At 40.6% G+C, this 19429-nt stretch overlaps 1 protein-coding gene and 1 pseudogene across 2 annotated transcripts; both read left to right on the top strand.

Annotated features, from left to right (window-relative positions):
* The first annotated feature begins 9142 nt into the window (after positions 1-9142).
* LOC102724971 (putative V-set and immunoglobulin domain-containing-like protein IGHV4OR15-8) lies at positions 9143-9962 on the top strand. Its single transcript, XM_011543804.4, has 2 exons — positions 9143-9277; positions 9361-9962. The coding sequence occupies exons 1-2, from the start codon at positions 9211-9213 to the stop codon at positions 9960-9962; spliced, it is 669 nt and encodes a 222-aa protein (XP_011542106.1). The 5' UTR covers positions 9143-9210.
* Positions 9963-16031: 6069 nt separating this feature from the next.
* IGHV1OR15-3 (immunoglobulin heavy variable 1/OR15-3 (pseudogene)) lies at positions 16032-16773 on the top strand (annotated as a pseudogene). The gene is made up of 2 exons (NR_135666.1): positions 16032-16131; positions 16217-16773. The product of NR_135666.1 is annotated as an immunoglobulin heavy variable 1/OR15-3 (pseudogene) (transcript).
* The last annotated feature ends 2656 nt before the right edge of the window (positions 16774-19429 follow it).

The following is a 19429-nucleotide window of genomic DNA, read 5'->3' as shown; positions in this document are numbered from 1 at the left end:
CTTCCTTTGTAGGTATCTTTGTAAACATCAATTTCTGAATCACTGTTGTAAATATTTTGGAACACACAAATGAATCAAATTTTAACTCTACTTTTATCTCTATTTTAAAAATGCCCCCCAAAACCTCATTTTGTGCATGTAGCATTTTGAATTCCCACCATCAATGCATGATGGTTCTTGATTTTCCACATTCATATTGCCATTTTTCATTATGAGAATTGTGTGTTTTAAACATCCTAATAGGTGAGTAATGGTATCTAATTTTTATTTACACGTACATGTCCCTAATAAAAAGTTCCTACTTAAAAATGTTCAAATAATCTTTGGTGAGGTACCTTGCCTGAGATCTAGTTCATTTTTAAATGCATTGTTTTCTTTTGATTAGTTGTAAGTTAACTTGCATATTAATTATAAAAGTGATTTAACAAACTAAAATAACTCATTTAACAAATACGTGACTTGGAAGTATTTTCTCCAAGTCTGTGGCTGTCTTTTACACCCTTAGCGTGTATTGCAGAAAAATATGTGTGCATGTTTATACCAATTTAGATTTTAAAAATGTAAAATTTTATTCATCCACAGATCATGTCTTTGGCATTATATCTGAAATACCATTATAAAATACAATAATAGTGATTTTTTTTCCATGTCTCTAATCTCAGGCCACAATCAACTCATGAGTGTTTAAGCTTCACTCACTTGATTACAGGACTATCAAGCTAACATATTTGGAATACTTCTGCAAAGAGATGTGTTCTTCTTCCCATTATTTATTTATTTAATAATCTATTAATATCCGTATTAGTTTACGGATGTCTATTTCATGCTCTGAAGATGATCCTTGCTACATCATTCATTTTATTGTTCATGTCACCACAGCTTTATTAGGTGCTAGGAGCTCATTTAGTTTGGATCCTGCATCCTTACAGCACACCTCATCCTTTTGTTTTTGAACACTTCCCTGTTTCCTGATATTACAATTAATTCTAAGTTCATTTTCTACATTATCTTTCTCATACATAGGATTAGCCGTTTTTCCTAAAGATTGATTATTTCCGATGTTAAAGAATAGTGTTAAAATTAAAAATTGTGATACTGGATATGTGTGTTGTTAAGGTGTTATAAGTACTTCTAGGACCTCTCAACCTATATGTCTAGTAAATGTACATGTTTATATGAACCCATGTTTATGGACTCATTGAAACTACTTATGTATCTAATTGTATGTAAGTTTATTACATTAAAAATGAGAACACACTGGTCTCTCCACCCAATTATGCTATTTTAGATAGTATTATAAACAATTTTAGAGCTACTTGCTTTGCATAATGATCCACTACTATGGATAAACAGATAGAAGATAGATGCCTACATACATACATACATACATACCTTGATAGAGATATAGTTGGACACATAAATACATAGATGGATAGATAGAGTTACAGATATATTTTAGTTTTTATGCTACTTTTTTCTTTGCCTTTACTTCCTATGTTATATTAGTCAGGTCTCTAGGACTTAGGACTGCATTTACAATTCCTTCCCTTGTCCATTTTGATGTGTTCTAGAAGATGTGAGAATCCTTTTGTGTCACTTCAAAGTCAGATCACTTCAAAGTCATGCACTACCCTTGCAATAAATGTATTTGTGTATGTCTTTGCCTTATTGACAAGCTCTGCTGAGTGCAGTTATTTCTGCCATCTGAGCTAACTTTACACTTGGTAGAGAAATATATTCTAAATGGAGGTTTCCACTATTCATTTAAATTACTAATTCATAACCTCCAGCTTAATTATTGAGGTATAATCTATCAGAGATGATATTAGATCAAAGGTTTCCAATGAAATCTAATATAAGGGAAGTGAACAAATTTTCCTAATTTAGGTAAAATAACTCTGAGCCCATTCTTAGTATCCAGCCATGTCTCCTATCTATCACACTGAATCCCATACTAACTTTGACCTAACTTGGGACTTGGAAGCTTCAAATACGACGTTTTGATTGCAATGCCTCTAATTCAGGATGTGTGGTTATTTTAGCCAAGAGTAAAGAAAAGCAAATTTAACTCACTAAAAATGAGGAAGATTAAAACCTAATGAAATGGAAACTGGGATATGAGTGGCTCCAGACTTGGCTATTTTAAGAGTCTATGTGCCCAGGTGATTTCTTTTCTCAATTTTACACACAGGCACACCCAAAACATCAGCTTCATCTCCCATTGACTCTCATCATCTCTTTCTTAGAATGTTGACTTCCCGCTGCATCCATGTTGCCACAAAAGACATGATTTTATTCTTTTTCTATGAATGCATAGTGTTCCATGGTGTAAATGTACCATATTTTCTTGATCAAATTCACCATTAATGGACACATAGGTTGGATTTATGTCTTAAGTATTAAGAGTAACATAGCAATGAACATGTAAGTGGGTGTATTTTTTGGTAGACTGATTTATTTTCTTTTGTGTATATACCCACATATGAGATGGCTGGACCAAGTGGCAGCTCTGCTTCAAATACTTTTCAAATCTCCAGACTGCTTTCCACAGTGCTTGGACTAATTCACATTCCACCCAACACTGTACAAGTGTTTCCTGTTCTCCGCAGCCTCACTCCAGACTGCTTGCCACCGTGCTTGGACTAATACACATTCCACCCAACACTGTACAAGTGTCTCCTGTTCTCTGCAGCCTCACTCCAGACTGCTTTCCACAGTACTTGGACTAATTCACATTCCACCCAACACTGTACAAGTGTTTCCTGTTCTCCGCAGCCTCTCTCCAGACTGCTTTCCACAGTGCTTGGACTAATTCACATTCCACCCAGCACTGTACAAGCGTTTCCTGTTCTCCGTAGCCTCACCAGCATCTGTTTTGTTTTTTTTTTAATTTTTAGTAATACTGATTTTGACTGGTGTGAGACAGCATCTCATTGTGGTTTTGATTGATTGGCATTTCTCTGATGATTAGTGACGTTAAACGTTTTTTCATATGTCCTGGCCACTTTATGTATTTTTGAGAAGTTTATGCTCATGTCATTTGCCTATTTTTAAAATGTGATTATTATTATTATTTTTGCTTGTTGATTTACATTTCTTATAGAATCTGGATATTGGACCTTCATCAAATGCATAGTTTGTGAATAGCCTCCCCCATTCTGTAGGATCTCTGCTTACTCTCTTGATAGTTTCTTGGCTCTGTAGAAGCTCCTTAGTTTTATAAGGTGCCACAGACAGAATTTTGATTTGTTGCAACTGCTCTTGGGGACTTTGCCAAAATTTTCTTGCCCAAAACAATTTTTAGATGAGTATTTCTTAGGTTGTATTCCAAGATTTTTATAGTTTGAGGTCTTATACTTAAATCTTTACTCCATTTTTTGTTGATTTTTGTTAATGGTGAAAGGTAGACATCTAGCTTCCATCTTCTGCATATGGCTAGCCAGTTATCCCAGCACGATTTATTGAATAGTGATACATTTCCTCATTGCATGTTTTTAGTGTCTTGGTGTAAGATCTGATGGTTGTAGGTGTGCAGCTTTATTTCAGAATTCTCTATTCCCTTTCACTCGTCTATGTGTCTCTTTTTGTATAAGTACCAAGCTATTTTGGTTCCTGTGGCTTTGTAGCATAATTTGATGTCTTCTAGTGGGATACCTTTGAATGTATTCTTGTTACTTAAGATTGCTTTTGTTTTTAAAACTCTTTTTTTGATTCCACATAAATTTTAAAAGTTTTTTTTCTAATGCTTTAAAAATAATGTTGGTAGTTTTATAGTAATAGCATTGAATCTGGTAATTTATTTGGGCACCATAAAAGTTGATAGTCATAAATGACTTCATCAAGGAGTTAGAAAGTTCTCAAATTAGTAATCTTAACCTTGCACCTAAAGGAACTAAAATAATCTCAAAGCTAGCACAGAAAAGGAAAATTAGAGAAGAACTGAATGAAATTCAGATACAAAAATGCATACAAAATATCAATAAGCCCAAGAGTTTCTTCTTTGTAAAATAAAGATTGACTGATAGACACCTGTCTGGATTTAGAAAGATAAAGAAAAAGAAGATCCAAATAAGTACAATCAAAAGTGACAAAGGGGATATTACAACTGATCCCAGAAGAATGCACAAATTCTCAGACTACTATAAACTTTATGCACACGTGTTAGAGAATCTGGAGGAAATGAGTAAATTTTGGGAAGCACAAAATCTCCCAATATTGAATCAGGGAGAGATTGAAACCCTAAATACAGTGAAACCAACTTCTAAAATTGAGTCAATAATAAAGACCCAACCAAGAAAAAGAAACCTGGACAAGAAGAATTCACAGCTGAATTCTACCCGACATACAAAAAAGAACTGATGCCAATTCTACTGAAGCTACACAAAGAAAATCAAGGCATAGAGGCTCCTTCTCAACTAAATCTGTGAAGCCAGCATCAGCCTTATACCAAAATATGGCAGAGACACAATAAGAGATGAAAGCTCAAGACAAATACTTCTCATGATCATAGGCTTAAAAATTCTCAATGTAGGAAATCAAATCCAGTAGTTTATCAAAAAGTTAACACACTGCAATCAAGTAGGCTTCATTCTGCAGATGCAAGGCTGCTTTAACCTATGCAAAGCAATAAATGTGATGCTCTACTAAACAGAATCAAAAGCAAAAACCATGTGAGTATCCCAGCAGATGCAGGAAAAAAAGCTTTCAATAAAATCTAACAATGCTTCATGATAAAAACCCTCAAAATTATAGACATTGAAGGAGCACACCTCAATCTGATGAGCCGTCTATGACAAACCCACAGCCAACATCATACTGAATGGGCAAACACTGGAAGCATTTTCCTTAAGAACAGAAACAAGACAAGGATGCCCGCTCTCACCACTTCTATTCAGCCTAGTACTGGAAGTATTCACCAGATCAGGCAAGAGAAAGAAATAAAAGGCATCCAAATAAAAGAAAAAGAAGAATGCAAACCCTCTGTTTTCACTGATAATATGATTCTATATGTAGAAAATATTGAAGGCTCTGCCAAAAGTCTCCTAGTATTGATACATTAGTTTAGGAATGTTTCAGGATATAAAATCAATGTACAAAAATCACAGTAACATTTCTAGTCACCAACAACGTTCTGGCTGAGAGTGGAATCAAGAACTTGCTCTCCCAATAGCCACCAAGACAGTGGAATACCTAGGAATAGAGCTAAGCCAATGAGATGAAATATTTCTACTAGAAAAACAGCAAAACACAGGTGAAAAAAATCAGAGATAAAACAAATAGATGGAAAAATAAACATTCCATGCTTATGAATTTAAACAATAAATATAAGAAAATGTTTTAAAATTTGTGATTAATTCTATGTAGCAATGCCATTTTTTTCAACATTTGCAGAATATTGTTGCTGGTAATAGCGGTTCAGCATTTGATAATGGAAATACCTTACAGAATCACTTTATAACAATTGCTTCCTGTAGTGGCTGTGCTTCAGTTACCTGATGAAAACATCGGCATGTCACAGGTTGAAAACATAAAACATGTTTATCAACTGAGAAGGCTGTAGGCTTTTGTCAAGTAATTACTTCAAGTCATTCAGAGAAACAGTAGACAGTAAATGAAACTTGTTCAAATTCCATGGAGAGTCAAAGCTGAAGAAAATCCTACTAAAAGTGTCCAAAGGCCCCCAAGGCTCAGTTCCTCGGCAAGTCCCACCTTCACAGGTTTTCCAGAATTTTGTTTTTAACTGATTTACACTAAGTGAAGTAGATTACCAGGAGTTTTCCATTATTTTAACTTAAAATCGGGGGCTAAGTGTTGTTATTTTGTAAAGACATCTTTGAATCTCTCAGGAAATTTACCTCCTGAGGGTTCAGCTAAGATCCCACTCTAGGTTAAGATTACATGTTTGGCACAACGAACTGGTACAAATCTTACTTTAGCTTTCATGTTATCTATTTTTCTGCACTGACTTCCACCTTTTTATTAGTCAAGTATATGGGGTGGAAGAGTGCTTCTAAGAGGTCCTTAACTTCCCCATTTCAATGGATTTTCAAGAAGACATGAGAAACCACTTTGTTTGCAAAGCATCCCAAAGCCATGTCCTGCTCCAGAAACGTGATCTCATTTCCTGGTCGTTTCTTAACTGACACACTGTAATCAGTGCATCTGGGCGAATTTCAAATGAGGTGAAGAAATGTGTCCTAAAGTAAAGCTAACATTGTAATAGGAATTCCTGTTTTAAAACATTTAGTTTTATTATTGGGAGGATCTATCAACATATAACAGTTGAAGTTTCTCAACAGGAGTTTAATAAATATAAGGAATGTACAGAAGTGTTTCCTAATTAAAATAAAACATAGTGATTACCTAGGCTGTGAATGCAATCTTGGTAATCTGCTATGTCCATGCCCATCACTCTGTGCCTCGCAAACTGATTTTGACCTTAGCAGAAATGAGGTTAATTTTCAAATTAGTAATTTTTTTCCAGTTTATTTAGATGATTATGAATGACTATTTTAGCAGAAAGAGAATCAAGGAAACTTGAACTAAATAACCAGAATTTAAAATGACAAACAATTCAACAAGACACCAGGATGTGAGTGGCTCCAGGCCCAATTAATTCAAAACTTTATCTGCCCAGGTTCTGTATTTTCCCAAAATTACACTTCTCCATTCCACCTTCATACCACAGTCGACTCCCACCCTGTAAGACATGGTGACAGCATTCCCAAAGGTCATGTGCAATTCTGAAAATGGAATAAGCAAGGTGAGGAGATGACAGTTTATATTCTCCTCTGAGGAGGAAGAATTGCCTCAACAGACCACTTCTCCTGCATCTGTGACTAGAACTATGTCACAGGCACACATGGAGCAAAATCCCTCAAGGGCATAATATGGTAACATTAATCAGGGTGATCATTTTTAATACTATAAAATTCATAGATGACACTGCATTCCAGCCTGAGAGACAGAGCAAGACCCTGTCTCTAAGAAAAAAAGAACAAATTAATAGATACTGATACCAACATTTTAGATAATGAAATTTTCATAACCTAATTTTAAATACACTCACATCATTACATAAATCTTCCCAGAAATATTCCTAGTCATGTTGAGTTTCATCAGCTTTTCCAGTGTTCAAATCTAGAAATCCAATAGAGTCTTGAGGATAAATCAAAATGAAGGCAGTGAAACTGGTATCTATTCAGCATCTGTTAACTCAGGAGGACTCAATACACCCTTGCACACTGCTGCTTCTCCGAATGGCTCACAAGGATTCCAGCTCACTCTCTAGCCTCCTCAAACATCTGGCCCCCACTTGCCCTAAGTTCACTGTCTGCTCTTAGTCTGTGCTCTGAAGTTTTCGCAGAGGTGAAAGTGAGCTGTCAGATGGAACTTCCCTCTCACCTCAGCGTGGAATTTACTACTACATTTAACTATCACTCTTTCCATAATGGTTGATTTCTCTTGGTCTGTTCATTACAGATCAAAGGCATCTGATTTGAATCTTTATTTCTTTGCATTTGTCTCCATGACAATTTTGGGAGGTTTTACCGCCAGCTCTATAACATGATGTAGTAACATGACACATTTGTGCTTAACAACACCTACAAATTCAGAAGCCCTTCGGTTCTCTTCCCGGCAAATATAGTTGCTTCCTTTCTGTGTATGGGCACATCCTGGAAACCCGTACACACCCACATAGATATATACATGCCTATGACATTTTCTTCTCTGTAAGTGAAAATTAATCTCAATTTCATACGAAGTTCATCATTTCCCTGAAGGTGAAGGTAGGTCGTTTTGGTCTGTTCAAACAAAAGGCCCAGACACCAGCTGGTAAGTGAGGAGCTACCCTGCTTCTAGATGTTGGATCTGTCTCTTCCCCTTTGCTTTACCACAGAAGATTGGCCACTTGTCCAGGTCCCAAGAAGAGAGTCCAGGTTTGTCCTGATAATATGACTCACCCAACTTCTGATAACTCTACTGCTACACACATTCATGGAGGTAGCCTATTAATTACATAATTGACTAAACAAACACCAAATACCCACATTGCAATACCCCATACCCAAGGGTATGTTCATGCAATTCAATGAAGGAAAAGGCTTTTCAGAGACAGATAGATCAGGCTAGATTGGTCAATATATGGGTGAAAACACTGGATTTGAATGTATTTGTTTTCCCCCATGTCGCATGTGAGACCTGTCAGGACCAGGGTTCCTTGTGCACTCAGAGGTGAGGGCTCACAGAGTTCCTCTCTGGTTTCCAGGAAAGGTAACTGCAGTAATCTTGGTGATGAGAATATCCTCCAGTGCTGGCCTATTATAGAGTTTACATATGAAATTGTCACTGCAATTCACAATCTACTCTTTCACACAGAAGTGTACAGAGGTCAGGCCACATCCTCAGGGTCACACATTGAGAATGATGAAGATATGTCCCACGAGTCTCTCCTAAGGTCTCAGAAAGAATTCCAGGACTCAAAAGGTCTCAGAGGGCAGCTCCCAGTGCCTTAGTTAAAATGGTGGCTCAGGCCTGTAATCCCAGCACTTTGGGAGGCCAAGGTGGGTGGATCACCTGATGTCGGGACGTTGAGACTAGCTTGGCCAACATGGTGAAACCTTATACTAAAAATATAAAAATTAGATGGGGGTGGTTGTGCGTGCCTGTACTCCCAGCTACTTGGGAGGCTGAGGCAGGAGAATCACTTGAACCCAGGAGGTGGAGGTTGCGGTAAGCTGAGATCGGGCCACTGCACTCTAGCCTGCGCAAAGGAGCAAAAGTTCATCTAAAAAATTTATTTTAATTTAAACACTTTTAAAAAGTGGCCCACTCCCTAGAACAGAGAGATTCCCTCTAAACATGATGGATGTCCTGAACTATAAATTACATTAAGTGAATCCTGGTGTGTCTGAACTCACATGATTATTACATTAAGCTGCTGTTCCAATCTACTTCCTCACCTGGGAAAAGAGGAGCCAGGACATGGCTAGTTGAGGCCCCAGGAAGAGAACTGAGTTCTCAAAGGGCAAAGCAAGCATCCTCATCCCAGGGTGAGCCTAAAAGACTGGGGCCTCCCTCATCCCTTTTCACCTCTTTATACAAAGGCACTACCTACATGCAAATCCTCGCTTAGGCACCCACAGGAAACCACCACACATTTCCTTAAATTCAGGGTCCAGCTCACATGGGAAATACTTTCTGAGACTCATGGACCTCCTGCACAAGAACATGAAACACCTGTGGTTCTTTCTCCTCCTGGTGGCAGCTCCCAGATGTGAGTATCTCAGGGATCCAGACATGAAGATAGGGGAGGCTGCCTCTGATCCCAGGGCTCACTGTGGGTCTCTCTGTTCACAGGGGTCCTGTCCCAGGTGCAGCTGCAGGAGTCGGGCCCAGGACTGGTGAAGCCTTCGGAGACCCTGTCCCTCACCTGCGTTGTCTCTGGTGGCTCCATCAGCAGTAGTAACTGGTGGAGCTGGGTCCGCCAGCCCCCAGGGAAGGGGCTGGAGTGGATTGGGGAAATCTATCATAGTGGGAGCCCCAACTACAACCCGTCCCTCAAGAGTCGAGTCACCATATCAGTAGACAAGTCCAAGAACCAGTTCTCCCTGAAGCTGAGCTCTGTGACCGCCGCGGACACGGCCGTGTATTACTGTGCGAGAGACACAGTGAGGGGAGGTGAGTGTGAGCCCAGACACAAACCTCCCTGCCAGGAGGCGGAGGGCGCGGACGCAGGTGCTGCTCAGGACCAGCAGGGGGCGCGGGGCCCACAGAGCATGAGGCCGGGTCAGGAGCAGGGGCAGGGAGGGCGGGGCTTCCTCATCTGCTCAGTGGTCTCCCTCCTCGCCAGCACCTCAGCTGTCCCCAGGGCTCCTCTTTCTTTATTGTTTGTGGTTCTGCTTCCTCACATCCTCACTGCAGGCAAGAAAGAAGGGAGAAATTTCTCTGTTTACCATTAAGGTTTTAACAGTCACTGGCACCTTTTTTTCAACAAATTCCCACAAGGCCCATTTTACCTTCTTGACAAATAAAATATTTCAAGGCTTCTCACTATCCCTTGATTGACGTCATTGGCTGCATCGTGTCCTTCTCTTAAATTCATATGCTGAAACCCCAATCCCAGTGGCTCTGTATTTGGAGTGAGGGATTTTAAGAGGGCAAATAAGTTAACTGTGGCCATAAATGTGGGACCCTAATCCAGTAGGACTCTTGTCCTTATGGGAAGTGGAAGACATCAGAGACCTCTCTCTCCACATGCACACAGAGGAGAGGCCATGTGGGGATGCACTGCATGAGAAGGTGGCCCTTTGCAAGCCTGGAAGAGGCCTCTCAAAAAACAAAATACTATCCCTTTCTGCACCCAGATCTTGGACATCAAGACTCCAGAACAATAAGAAAATTAATATTTGTTATTTGAAACAACCTAGTCTGTGGTATCTTCTGATGGAAAGCCAAGCGGATTCACAGATACAATTGTGTTAGCTCTGTCTCCTGGAGGGAGAAACAGCCCACTGAGGCTGGACACATCTCTCAGATTATTTTTATAAAGAAAAATAGATCCAAGATGAAAACCCCACCACATTTCTGCTGAGTCATTCACTTAGCAGGCGTCTCTGAGATCAGCCCTGGGGGCTGTGTTCTAGGTCATGTCTCTCACTTTCCACCATGAGAATCCATGTAGATAATGAGAACCAGCCAGATGGAGTCCTGATCCCGGCCCACCTTCTGCTGCCCCAAGTATCCCAAAGAAAACCACTCCAGCATCACCCCTGTGTCTTCTACTCTCTAAAATCCCACTAAAGCTGACCCTAAACCAGGAGCTATTTGGGGCTGGACTCTTGTTCTCTTCTTCTTAGTCTTCCATAAGGTCCAGGTGCCGAGTAAAGCCTCAGTAAAGATTGAGCTTCAGTTCCCCTAATCCGCAGCATTCCCTTACATCCTTGTCATGCATCTGTCCTCTGTGGGCGCCCAGGGCAGGTTACACAGGAATTGCCTGAAGCTGGCCTCAGCTGATGTGCTGAGACCACGGGTCATGCACACGTATGATTCCAGGTCATGCGGGCTCTACTGCAGGACAGACCTGTGTCCTGTGGGGCACAGCCACCTGCTGATCCCGGGCCTCCTCTAATAACTCACACACCTGGTGTTTGTGTATGTCCAGATGGCCCCATGAGCACAGCACACTAGGGTGGCCAACCTCACAGGTGGTGCCGTCAGATGGTGGACAGAAAATGGAATGGACAGGCTGGTCACTCCCATCATCAGTGATTTCCCAGTGAATTTTAAATAAATTAAACAAAATTAACAACAAAGGGGAAGGATATGTACCTGTATCTGGGAGGTATACAGGGTCCTAGAACTGTGCTGGGAGTGGGTGTGAAAGGCCCTTTTGGGTGGAAAGCCCTCCGGCCTGAGTGAAAGCTGAAGGAATGATCACTGTGCAGGTGGAGGCTGATAGGCAGCTGGCAGGGTACATTTCCTGAAGCTGTTCCTGGGTGCATGATGGTTGGATGGCCCGTGGTGATGAGGGCTGGACTCACATAGGAACAAGGAAATTATCCCATGGGAATGGCAGAAAAGAAAACGGAGATGGACACCCCTGGAGACAGCTTATTAGAATTGGTGGAGGAAAAATAGAAATTTATTCCAATGACCCCAGCATTGTCAGCTAAATATGAGTTGCATTAATAGACAGAATTATGAAAGGAAGGGAGAAGGAGTTTATGGAGGGAAAAAACAGAAGAGAAATTAAAATTAAAAACTATGCAAATCTATCAATTGGCAGATAACAGAGTGGAGCTGATGCAGCTACTTCCTTGTTCAGGAAACCTGCCAGAGACACTTGGCATTCCTGTAAGGCCGGCCTAGTGGTGATGAACTTGTCGACTTTTTACTTTTTTGGGAAACTTCTCAAACATCCTGCATTACTGAAGAAAAGCTTTAATCCCTGTAAGATATTTATTTGGAAGTTTTTTGGCTTTTTTTTTCAGCAACTTGAATAGAATCATGCACATTTTGATATTTGGGTGAACAACAGGCCACATACATGACAAAGGTCTCATTAGATTATAATACTGTATTTTCACTGCATTTTTTCCATGCTTAGATATGTTCATCTGTATAAACATCTACTATGGTGATTCAGCTGCCCACAGTATTTAGTACACTTACATGACATACAGATTTGTTACCTAGGAGCACTATGCTATCCCACACAGCCTGGGTGTAGCAGGGTATTTCATGTAGGTTTGTGTAAACACACTCTATGATCCTTGCACAATGACAAATTGCCTGAGGACACATTGCTCAGACGTATCCCTACTGTTTTTCATTTTTTTTTAGATGGAGTCTCACTCTGTCACCCAGGCTGGAGTGCAGTGGCACAATCTTGGCTCACTGCAACCTCCACCTCCGAGGCTCAAGCGATTCTCCTGCCTCAGCCTTCTGAGGAGATGGGATTACAGGCATGTACCACCACGCCCAGCTAATTCTTTTTTTTCTATTTTTAGGAGAGATGGGGTTTCACCATGTTGCCCTGGCTGGTCTTGAACTCGTGACCTAGGTGATCCACACTCTTTGGCCTCCCAAAGTGCTGGGATTACAAGCATGAGCCACTGCGCCTGGCCAATGTATCCCTACTGTTAAGCCACAAATCATTGTATCTCATCTCTCTCCCTTTTTTGTCCCTGTTAATACTTTCATGTTGTTCGTGCATTCTTCCCCTAGCTCAGTGAACATATTTATAAGGTTTACTTTGAATTTTCTGCTAGGTAATCAATATATCTCCTTTTAATTTGTGGCAGTTTCTAGTGCTTTTTTTTTGTTAAACAATTTGGGCCACTTTTTTCTGTTTCGTGATTATTATTATTATTTTTTTTACTTTCTCTGTTGCTTTCTCCTCATTAGAAGGAAAAGCTACCATAATCACTCTTCACAGAATATGCTCAGGGAAAATGCCATCACCTATCAACCCAGGCTGTCATTGTGGCATCTCTTAAAACTTCATAATGGTCGAAATTTTTTTTGGTTGTTAGTGGCACTCAGACCTATAGAGGATTTTAAGTTTTGCTCCTACTCTAAATTAGATGGCATTGAAATTCATCCTGCAGGCAGTCTCTGATAAAGTGGAGGAATTGGACAAAGTTTTGTTATGCATGTGGTTCATAAAAATAATATGAGTTTAAGGTTTTCTCAACCAAGTGCTACATACTGATACTTTATAATCACTTCTTTGAATCTGTCTTGAGTTTATCCTCCGAAAATTTAGATCAGAATATAAACCATGTTTGAGGCTTCTTGTTTGGTGTAAACATCTCCTACAGGTCATTGTGTGAAAAGGCACAGAGTCTATCTGAGGAGGAGAACTCAGGGAAGCCTCACAACAACAGGGGAGACAAAACCGAGGTCACTAAAAAAATATGAAGCTTCTGGCTCCTGCAGCCTCCAGACATGCCCTGCACCCTCTCATTGCATACAAACGAATTCCTTTCTCTTTCCTGTGTGATATTTGCCAAGATTCCTCTCCTCCACTTTGACACTTTGGTATATCCATGTGTGTCCATTCTGGTTCAGCCAGGCACACAGAACCAGGAAGGCATCATGGCTTTTCTAGAGGGAGCTGACCTGGGTAATCAACGGTTGGAGTAGAAAGTGTCTTTGTCCATGTTTCACAGCCCTGAGGGCCATGGGAAGAAGGTCAGGAAGAGAGGATGACCAGACGGCCGGGGAAACCAGTATGAACAAAGCCACTTTCTTTCCTGGTGAAGAGGGGCTGTCCCTGTAGGGGATGAACCACACTCACCTACCCACTGTTACTTGCCAACGAGGTGACCCGCAGAGCAGCAGCTCCTGAGTCACCGACAGTGGCGCCTTCCTCCTCCAAACCCTCCAAGATCTGTCCTTCCAGGAGTGTGAACCCCAGCAGATCTGCATGTTTTCAATGGGTCCACTTAGCTAGTGTCTGTCCTCAGCCCCATCCCTGGGATCCTTCCCTGGTTCTGTGTACAGTGTCACAATAGTGGTGACATTGACAGCTGGTGCCTGCACTTTCCAGGCCAAGAAATTTGAAAGAAGCAAGTCACAGGACCAGCTTGGATTTGGGGCAAACAGACACATTTCACTCTGTGGGGAAGTGCTGGGAAGCAGCCTTGGGTCCTCCTCAGCTCACGTGTGGCTGCTGCTTCTCATCCCAGGTGGGACACATGAGCCCTCCCCATGCCCAGGATGGAGCTGTTTCAATCACAGCAGGATGGGAATGTGTCTTCTCTATGGGGGCTTTTGAAGCACAGCTCTCCTGTTCCTGAGATTTGAGATTTATAAAGACAAGTCCCACAGAGTGGACCTGCACAAATAAGACAGTACAGGATCCCCAGGAGAGACATCCCATATGAGAAGGGACAGGCTGGTCCCATCACTGACACTCGTCCTCAGAAACCCTGACCAGCTACTGACCTTCCCAGGTCCCCTGTTCCTGGAACGGTTCCTGTGTCTGCTCCTGAAAAGATGCCCATCAAGAGTCCCAAGGGTTCTGCCCCCTTCCTTGATGTGCCTCTGGGAGTGGGGCTGGCTGGGCTGTGGGTCTGCTGTGACCCTCTCCACAGGTCAGCAGTTCAGTGCAGGCTGCACCAACTCGGTGGGGCTGGGCTGTGGCTGACCCTCCTGGGGGAGCCTGGACTCTTCTTAGGGGTATCTGCAGGATCCCAGGTTCTGGGAGAACAGGGAAGCCACAGTGTGTGCAGGGCCCCATCTCCAGTAAAGTGTTTGCTGTTGTTCTGCTTGACAAGGGCATATCCCCAGGCCTAGAGGCACTATGGGCACACAGCCAATGCGCTAGACACAGGGAGTAAGACACAGTTCCCTCTCATTACTGTGAGGACTCTAGACACAGTGTGTGTGTGTGTGTGTGTGTGTGTGTGTGTGTGTGTGTCCATTACTGTGGGGACTCTAACCACCCGTGTGTGTGTGTGTGTGTGTGTGTGTGTGTGTATTAGGAGTTTCGCAGTGGGCTCTGAGACCCATGATTTTGTAGGTTTAGAAATTATCTGATGAGATGTTCATCCAAAGGAACCGACAAGAGATTAGGTGTTCTCCCAAAGCCCCTGGGAGCTCCTGGACTCATTGTGAGTGTGGACTGATCCAGTGCTTCCGGAGCTCCAGAGAAGGGGCTCCCTGGTGGTTTCATAGAATCCTTGTTTGGGGTGTTTCTGCAGAGTTCACTGGCTTTCCTACAACCAATTTACTATTGCAAGCGATGGTGTCAGCAGGACATGGTGTCACGTGTCACTAAAGAAGCATTCTGAGCCAGGACACAGCCACTTCATACAGGGAGGAAAATGCTCTGGGAGCCCAGACAGGAGCCTCTCTGCAGTGCAAGGGCTGGGCTGCAGGGGGCGCTCAAGGCCCACCCAGCACAGGCCCCAGCCCCAGAGCAGGTGCACAGGAGGCTGGGGAGGGATTCCTCTCAAGATCTGTGTCATTCTTCTAAAAAAATCTAAAATAAGTATTTGACAAAGACTGCTGAAGATTCCATAAATATCCTATTCAATTGCAAGAATTTATCAATTTACACTGGAGATTTCTAACCCTGCTACATACCTTAATAGTAAGCATCTGGAGATCAATTAAGCTTTTATTTTATATAAATAAGTGCAACTTTTGGAGAAACACACTCATCCCCCAAATAACACATTCATGTATTAAAGCCTAGAAATGCTTTAAATTACCTCTGAGCTATTCAAGTGTGGGTTCCCAGTGAAGTCCTGTTCTAGGGAAAATTGTTCTCCAGTGTTCTCCACTGTTCTGGAGAAAATTGTTCTCCAGAAGCTCTGTCAACATACAGCTTAGGGATGTGGCAGGGCACACATGGCCTCTAAGGGGATTATAGCTTGAACCCTTAGCATCCTCCTGTTGGGTAATCCATGTGTCATCTCTCCATTCTTTCTCATGCTGTGTTAGGTATGAAATAGCATCGCTCATGAATATGCAAATAACTGATATGACTATAGATATCTTTGTGCCCTGAGAGCATCACCCAACAACCACATCCCTCCTCAGAAGAAGCCCCCAGAGCACAGCTCCTCACCATGGACTGGACCTGGAGGATCCTCTTTTTGGTGGCAGCAGCCACAGGTAAGGGGCTGCCAAATCCCAGTGAGGAGGAAGGGATTGAGGCCAGTCAAGGGGGCTTCCATCCACTCCTGTGTCTTCTCTACAGGTGCCCACTCCCAGGTCCAACTGGTGTAGTCTGGAGCTGAGGTGAAGAAGCCTGGGGCCTCAGTGAAGGTCTCCTGCAAGGCTTCTGGATACACCTTCACCGACTACTTTATGAACTGGATGCGCCAGGCCCCTGGACAAAGGCTTGAGTGGATGGGATGGATCAACGCTGGCAATGGTAACACAAAATATTCACAGAAGCTCCAGGGCAGAGTCACCATTACCAGGGACACATCTTCGAGCACAGCCTACATGCAGCTGAGCAGCCTGAGATCTGAGGACACGGCCGTGTATTACTGTGCGAGAGACACAGAGTGAAAACCCACATCCTGAGAGTGTCAGAAACCCCAGGGAGGAAGCAGCTGTACTGGCATGGAGGAAATGACAAAGATTATTAGATTGAAGACTTTCTCAGAAAATGACATTAAGTCATTAAGGAAAAGAAACAATATAAATGTGTACTTGAGAAATTTTAATTACTTGAGAGATTTTTCATACAATATTTATTCTGCAAGCAAATTTCAGGGATTGAATTAATAAAACTGATACAGAACTTCCTCTGTAGGTATCTGTGTAAACATCAATTTCTGAATCAGTGTTGTAAATATTTTGGAACACATACACAAATCACATTTTATCTCTATTTTTAAAAATGCCAAAAAAACTCATTTGTGCATGTAGCATTTTGAATTCCCACCATCAATGCATGATAGTTCTTGGTTTTCCACATTCATATTGCCATTTACAATTATGAGAATTATGTGTTTTAACCATTCTAATAGGTGAGTAATGGTATCTAATTTTTAGTTAAATGCACATTTCCTTAATAAAAATTTACATTTAACAATTTTCATATAGTTTTTGCTGAGATGCCTCTTCTCATATTTGGTTCATTTTTAACTGTATTGTTTTCTTTTGATTAGTTGTAAGTTTACTTGCATATTGATTATAAAAGTCATTTAACAAATTAAAAGAATTCATTTAACAAATATGTGACTTGGAAGTATTTTCTCCAAGTCTGTGGCTGTCTTTTACTCCCTTATCAGTGTGTATTGCAGAAAAGTGTGTGTGTGTGTGTTTATACAAATTTAGATTTAAAAAATAAAATTTTATTCATCTACAGATCATGTCTTTGGTATTATATCTGAAATCTCATTATAAAATATACTAATATGATTACTTTTTCCATGTCTCTAGTCTCAGGCTACAATCAACTCATGAGTGTTTAAGCTTCACCTACTTGATTGGAGGACTATCAACCTAACATAGTTGGAATACTTCTGTAAAAAGATGTGTTCTTCTTCCTATTATTTCTTTATTTGATCACTTATTAATATGTGTATTGGTTTATGGATGTCTATTTCATACTCTGAAGAAGATCCATGCTACATTATTCATTTTATTTTTCAAACCACCACAGCTTTATTATGTGCTGGGAGCTCATTTAGTTTGGATCCTGCATCCTTACAGCTCACCTCATGCTTTTGTTTTTGAACACTTCCCTGTTTCCTGCTATTATAATAAATTCTAAACTCATTTTCTATATTATCTTTTTCGTACATAGAATCAGCCATTTTTCTAAAGACTGCTTGTTTCTGATGTTAAAGAATAGTATTTAAAAAATTGTAATACTGGGTATGTGCATTGTTAACGTGGTATAAGTACTTGTAGGACCTCTCAACTGACTGGCCTAGTAAACTATGTATCTAACCTTCTGTAATTTGATTACATTAAAAGTGAGAACACACTGGTCTCTCTACCCAATTATGCTACCACATGGACCTTTCTAGCCTTCCTTCCTTGACTGTCTATAACCACTCACTGCAAAGTGAGGAACCCCATCCAACCATATGCCATTTGATTACTTAGCTGCACAATTTCAGGACACATGCATAGCAGTATCAGAAATGTAAAGCTGTAACCTTGTTGGAAACATGTTTATCTACTAGAATAGAGTGCTTATATTCAGTTTCTTTACACTTATTATAGAGTTTCCTCATTTTCAAAGTTCCTTAGGTCAGCAACTTCATTTTCCAGTTTCTTCAGTGAAGTCATTTCAATGACACTGTATAATTTGATTTATTTGAAATTCTATAAAAGCCAAAACTGTAGTCAAGTAAACATATAGAGGATATTCCAGGAGCTTAGAGACTGGGTATAAAATAAGTTAAAAAGACACTGTTTAAGAAGATTAAAATTATTTATAGTGATATGCAATGGTTCAGATATGACACAATTAATTTGTCTAAGCACATAATTTTATGATGGAAAATATAAACCTAAATATACACAATTAAAAAAAAGTACTTAGCAGTTCATTAACCCAAGGATCAAATGCAGATTGTATAAAATTATCTCATTACTTATTTTGTGAGGGTGGAGATTTCATGAGATGTATGCAACAAAGAATGAGGTAATTTTCCTGATTTGCATATAAGATGTTGCCATTCACTAAAGACCTTTAATTTTTTAATTTTTTTTAAAATCAATTTTCTACGTGACCCAGGTTTTTTCCTCTTGACAAGCAAATAACCCACAGGATTATTTTCTTTCCTTGGTTGAGAAATATTTCCCCAAACTTCAGCTCAGTTCAGGCATACACTGTCCCTGAATGGGCATTTACCCTCAGATGGGGACACACACCTGTCAACATGTGGACTCTTCTGTCAGATAAATGCACCGTTACTCATGTGGATTCTTTCCTCAGACAAACACACATGTCCCCACGTGGACTCTTTCCTCAGACTACCACATATGTTCTGACATTTACTCTTTCCTCAGAAAACAGACATTTCCTCATGTGGACTCTTGTCTCAGACAAGCAAACATGTCTCCATGTGAACTCAATTCAGATAAGTACACATATGTCCACATTGACTGTTTCCTTACACAAACACATATATCCAATGTCGAATTGTTCTGTGGCAAAATGATCTCAAGATAATGATAATTATAAACCCCCTCCCTGACAAGGCGTAGATATGTATTTTTTTCATTGTAACCTAACTTTGCCTTATTGTCAAGAACAGTAGTTTGCAGCTCTAAATGTACCAATTAGAGACAGGTGTCCATTTTCTCTGGAAACATATTTTTATGTTCTTACTGGACATATTTGTTGATAATGTTTGCTATTATGAAAATACCTGAACAGCGTCCACACTAGAGAATAAAAAAGAGTAATGGGCAGATTAACTCTGTGCATCCAGACCCAGAA

Source organism: Homo sapiens, chromosome 15 (assembly GCF_000001405.40).
Source record: "Homo sapiens chromosome 15, GRCh38.p14 Primary Assembly".
Taxonomy (NCBI): domain Eukaryota; kingdom Metazoa; phylum Chordata; class Mammalia; order Primates; family Hominidae; genus Homo; species Homo sapiens.
Note: the sequence above shows the minus strand (reverse complement) of the source record. Positions and strands in the feature narration are given on the sequence as shown.

What these genes read in the sequence shown, in the direction of transcription:
- LOC102724971 (XM_011543804.4), top strand. Translation starts at nt 9,211, where the DNA reads ATGGACCTCCTGCACAAGAACATGAAACACCTGTGGTTCTTTCTCCTC. An exon ending in CCTGGTGGCAGCTCCCAGAT is followed by an intron (nt 9,278 to 9,360) that starts GTGAGTATCTCA and finishes CTCTGTTCACAG; the next exon opens with GGGTCCTGTCCCAGGTGCAG.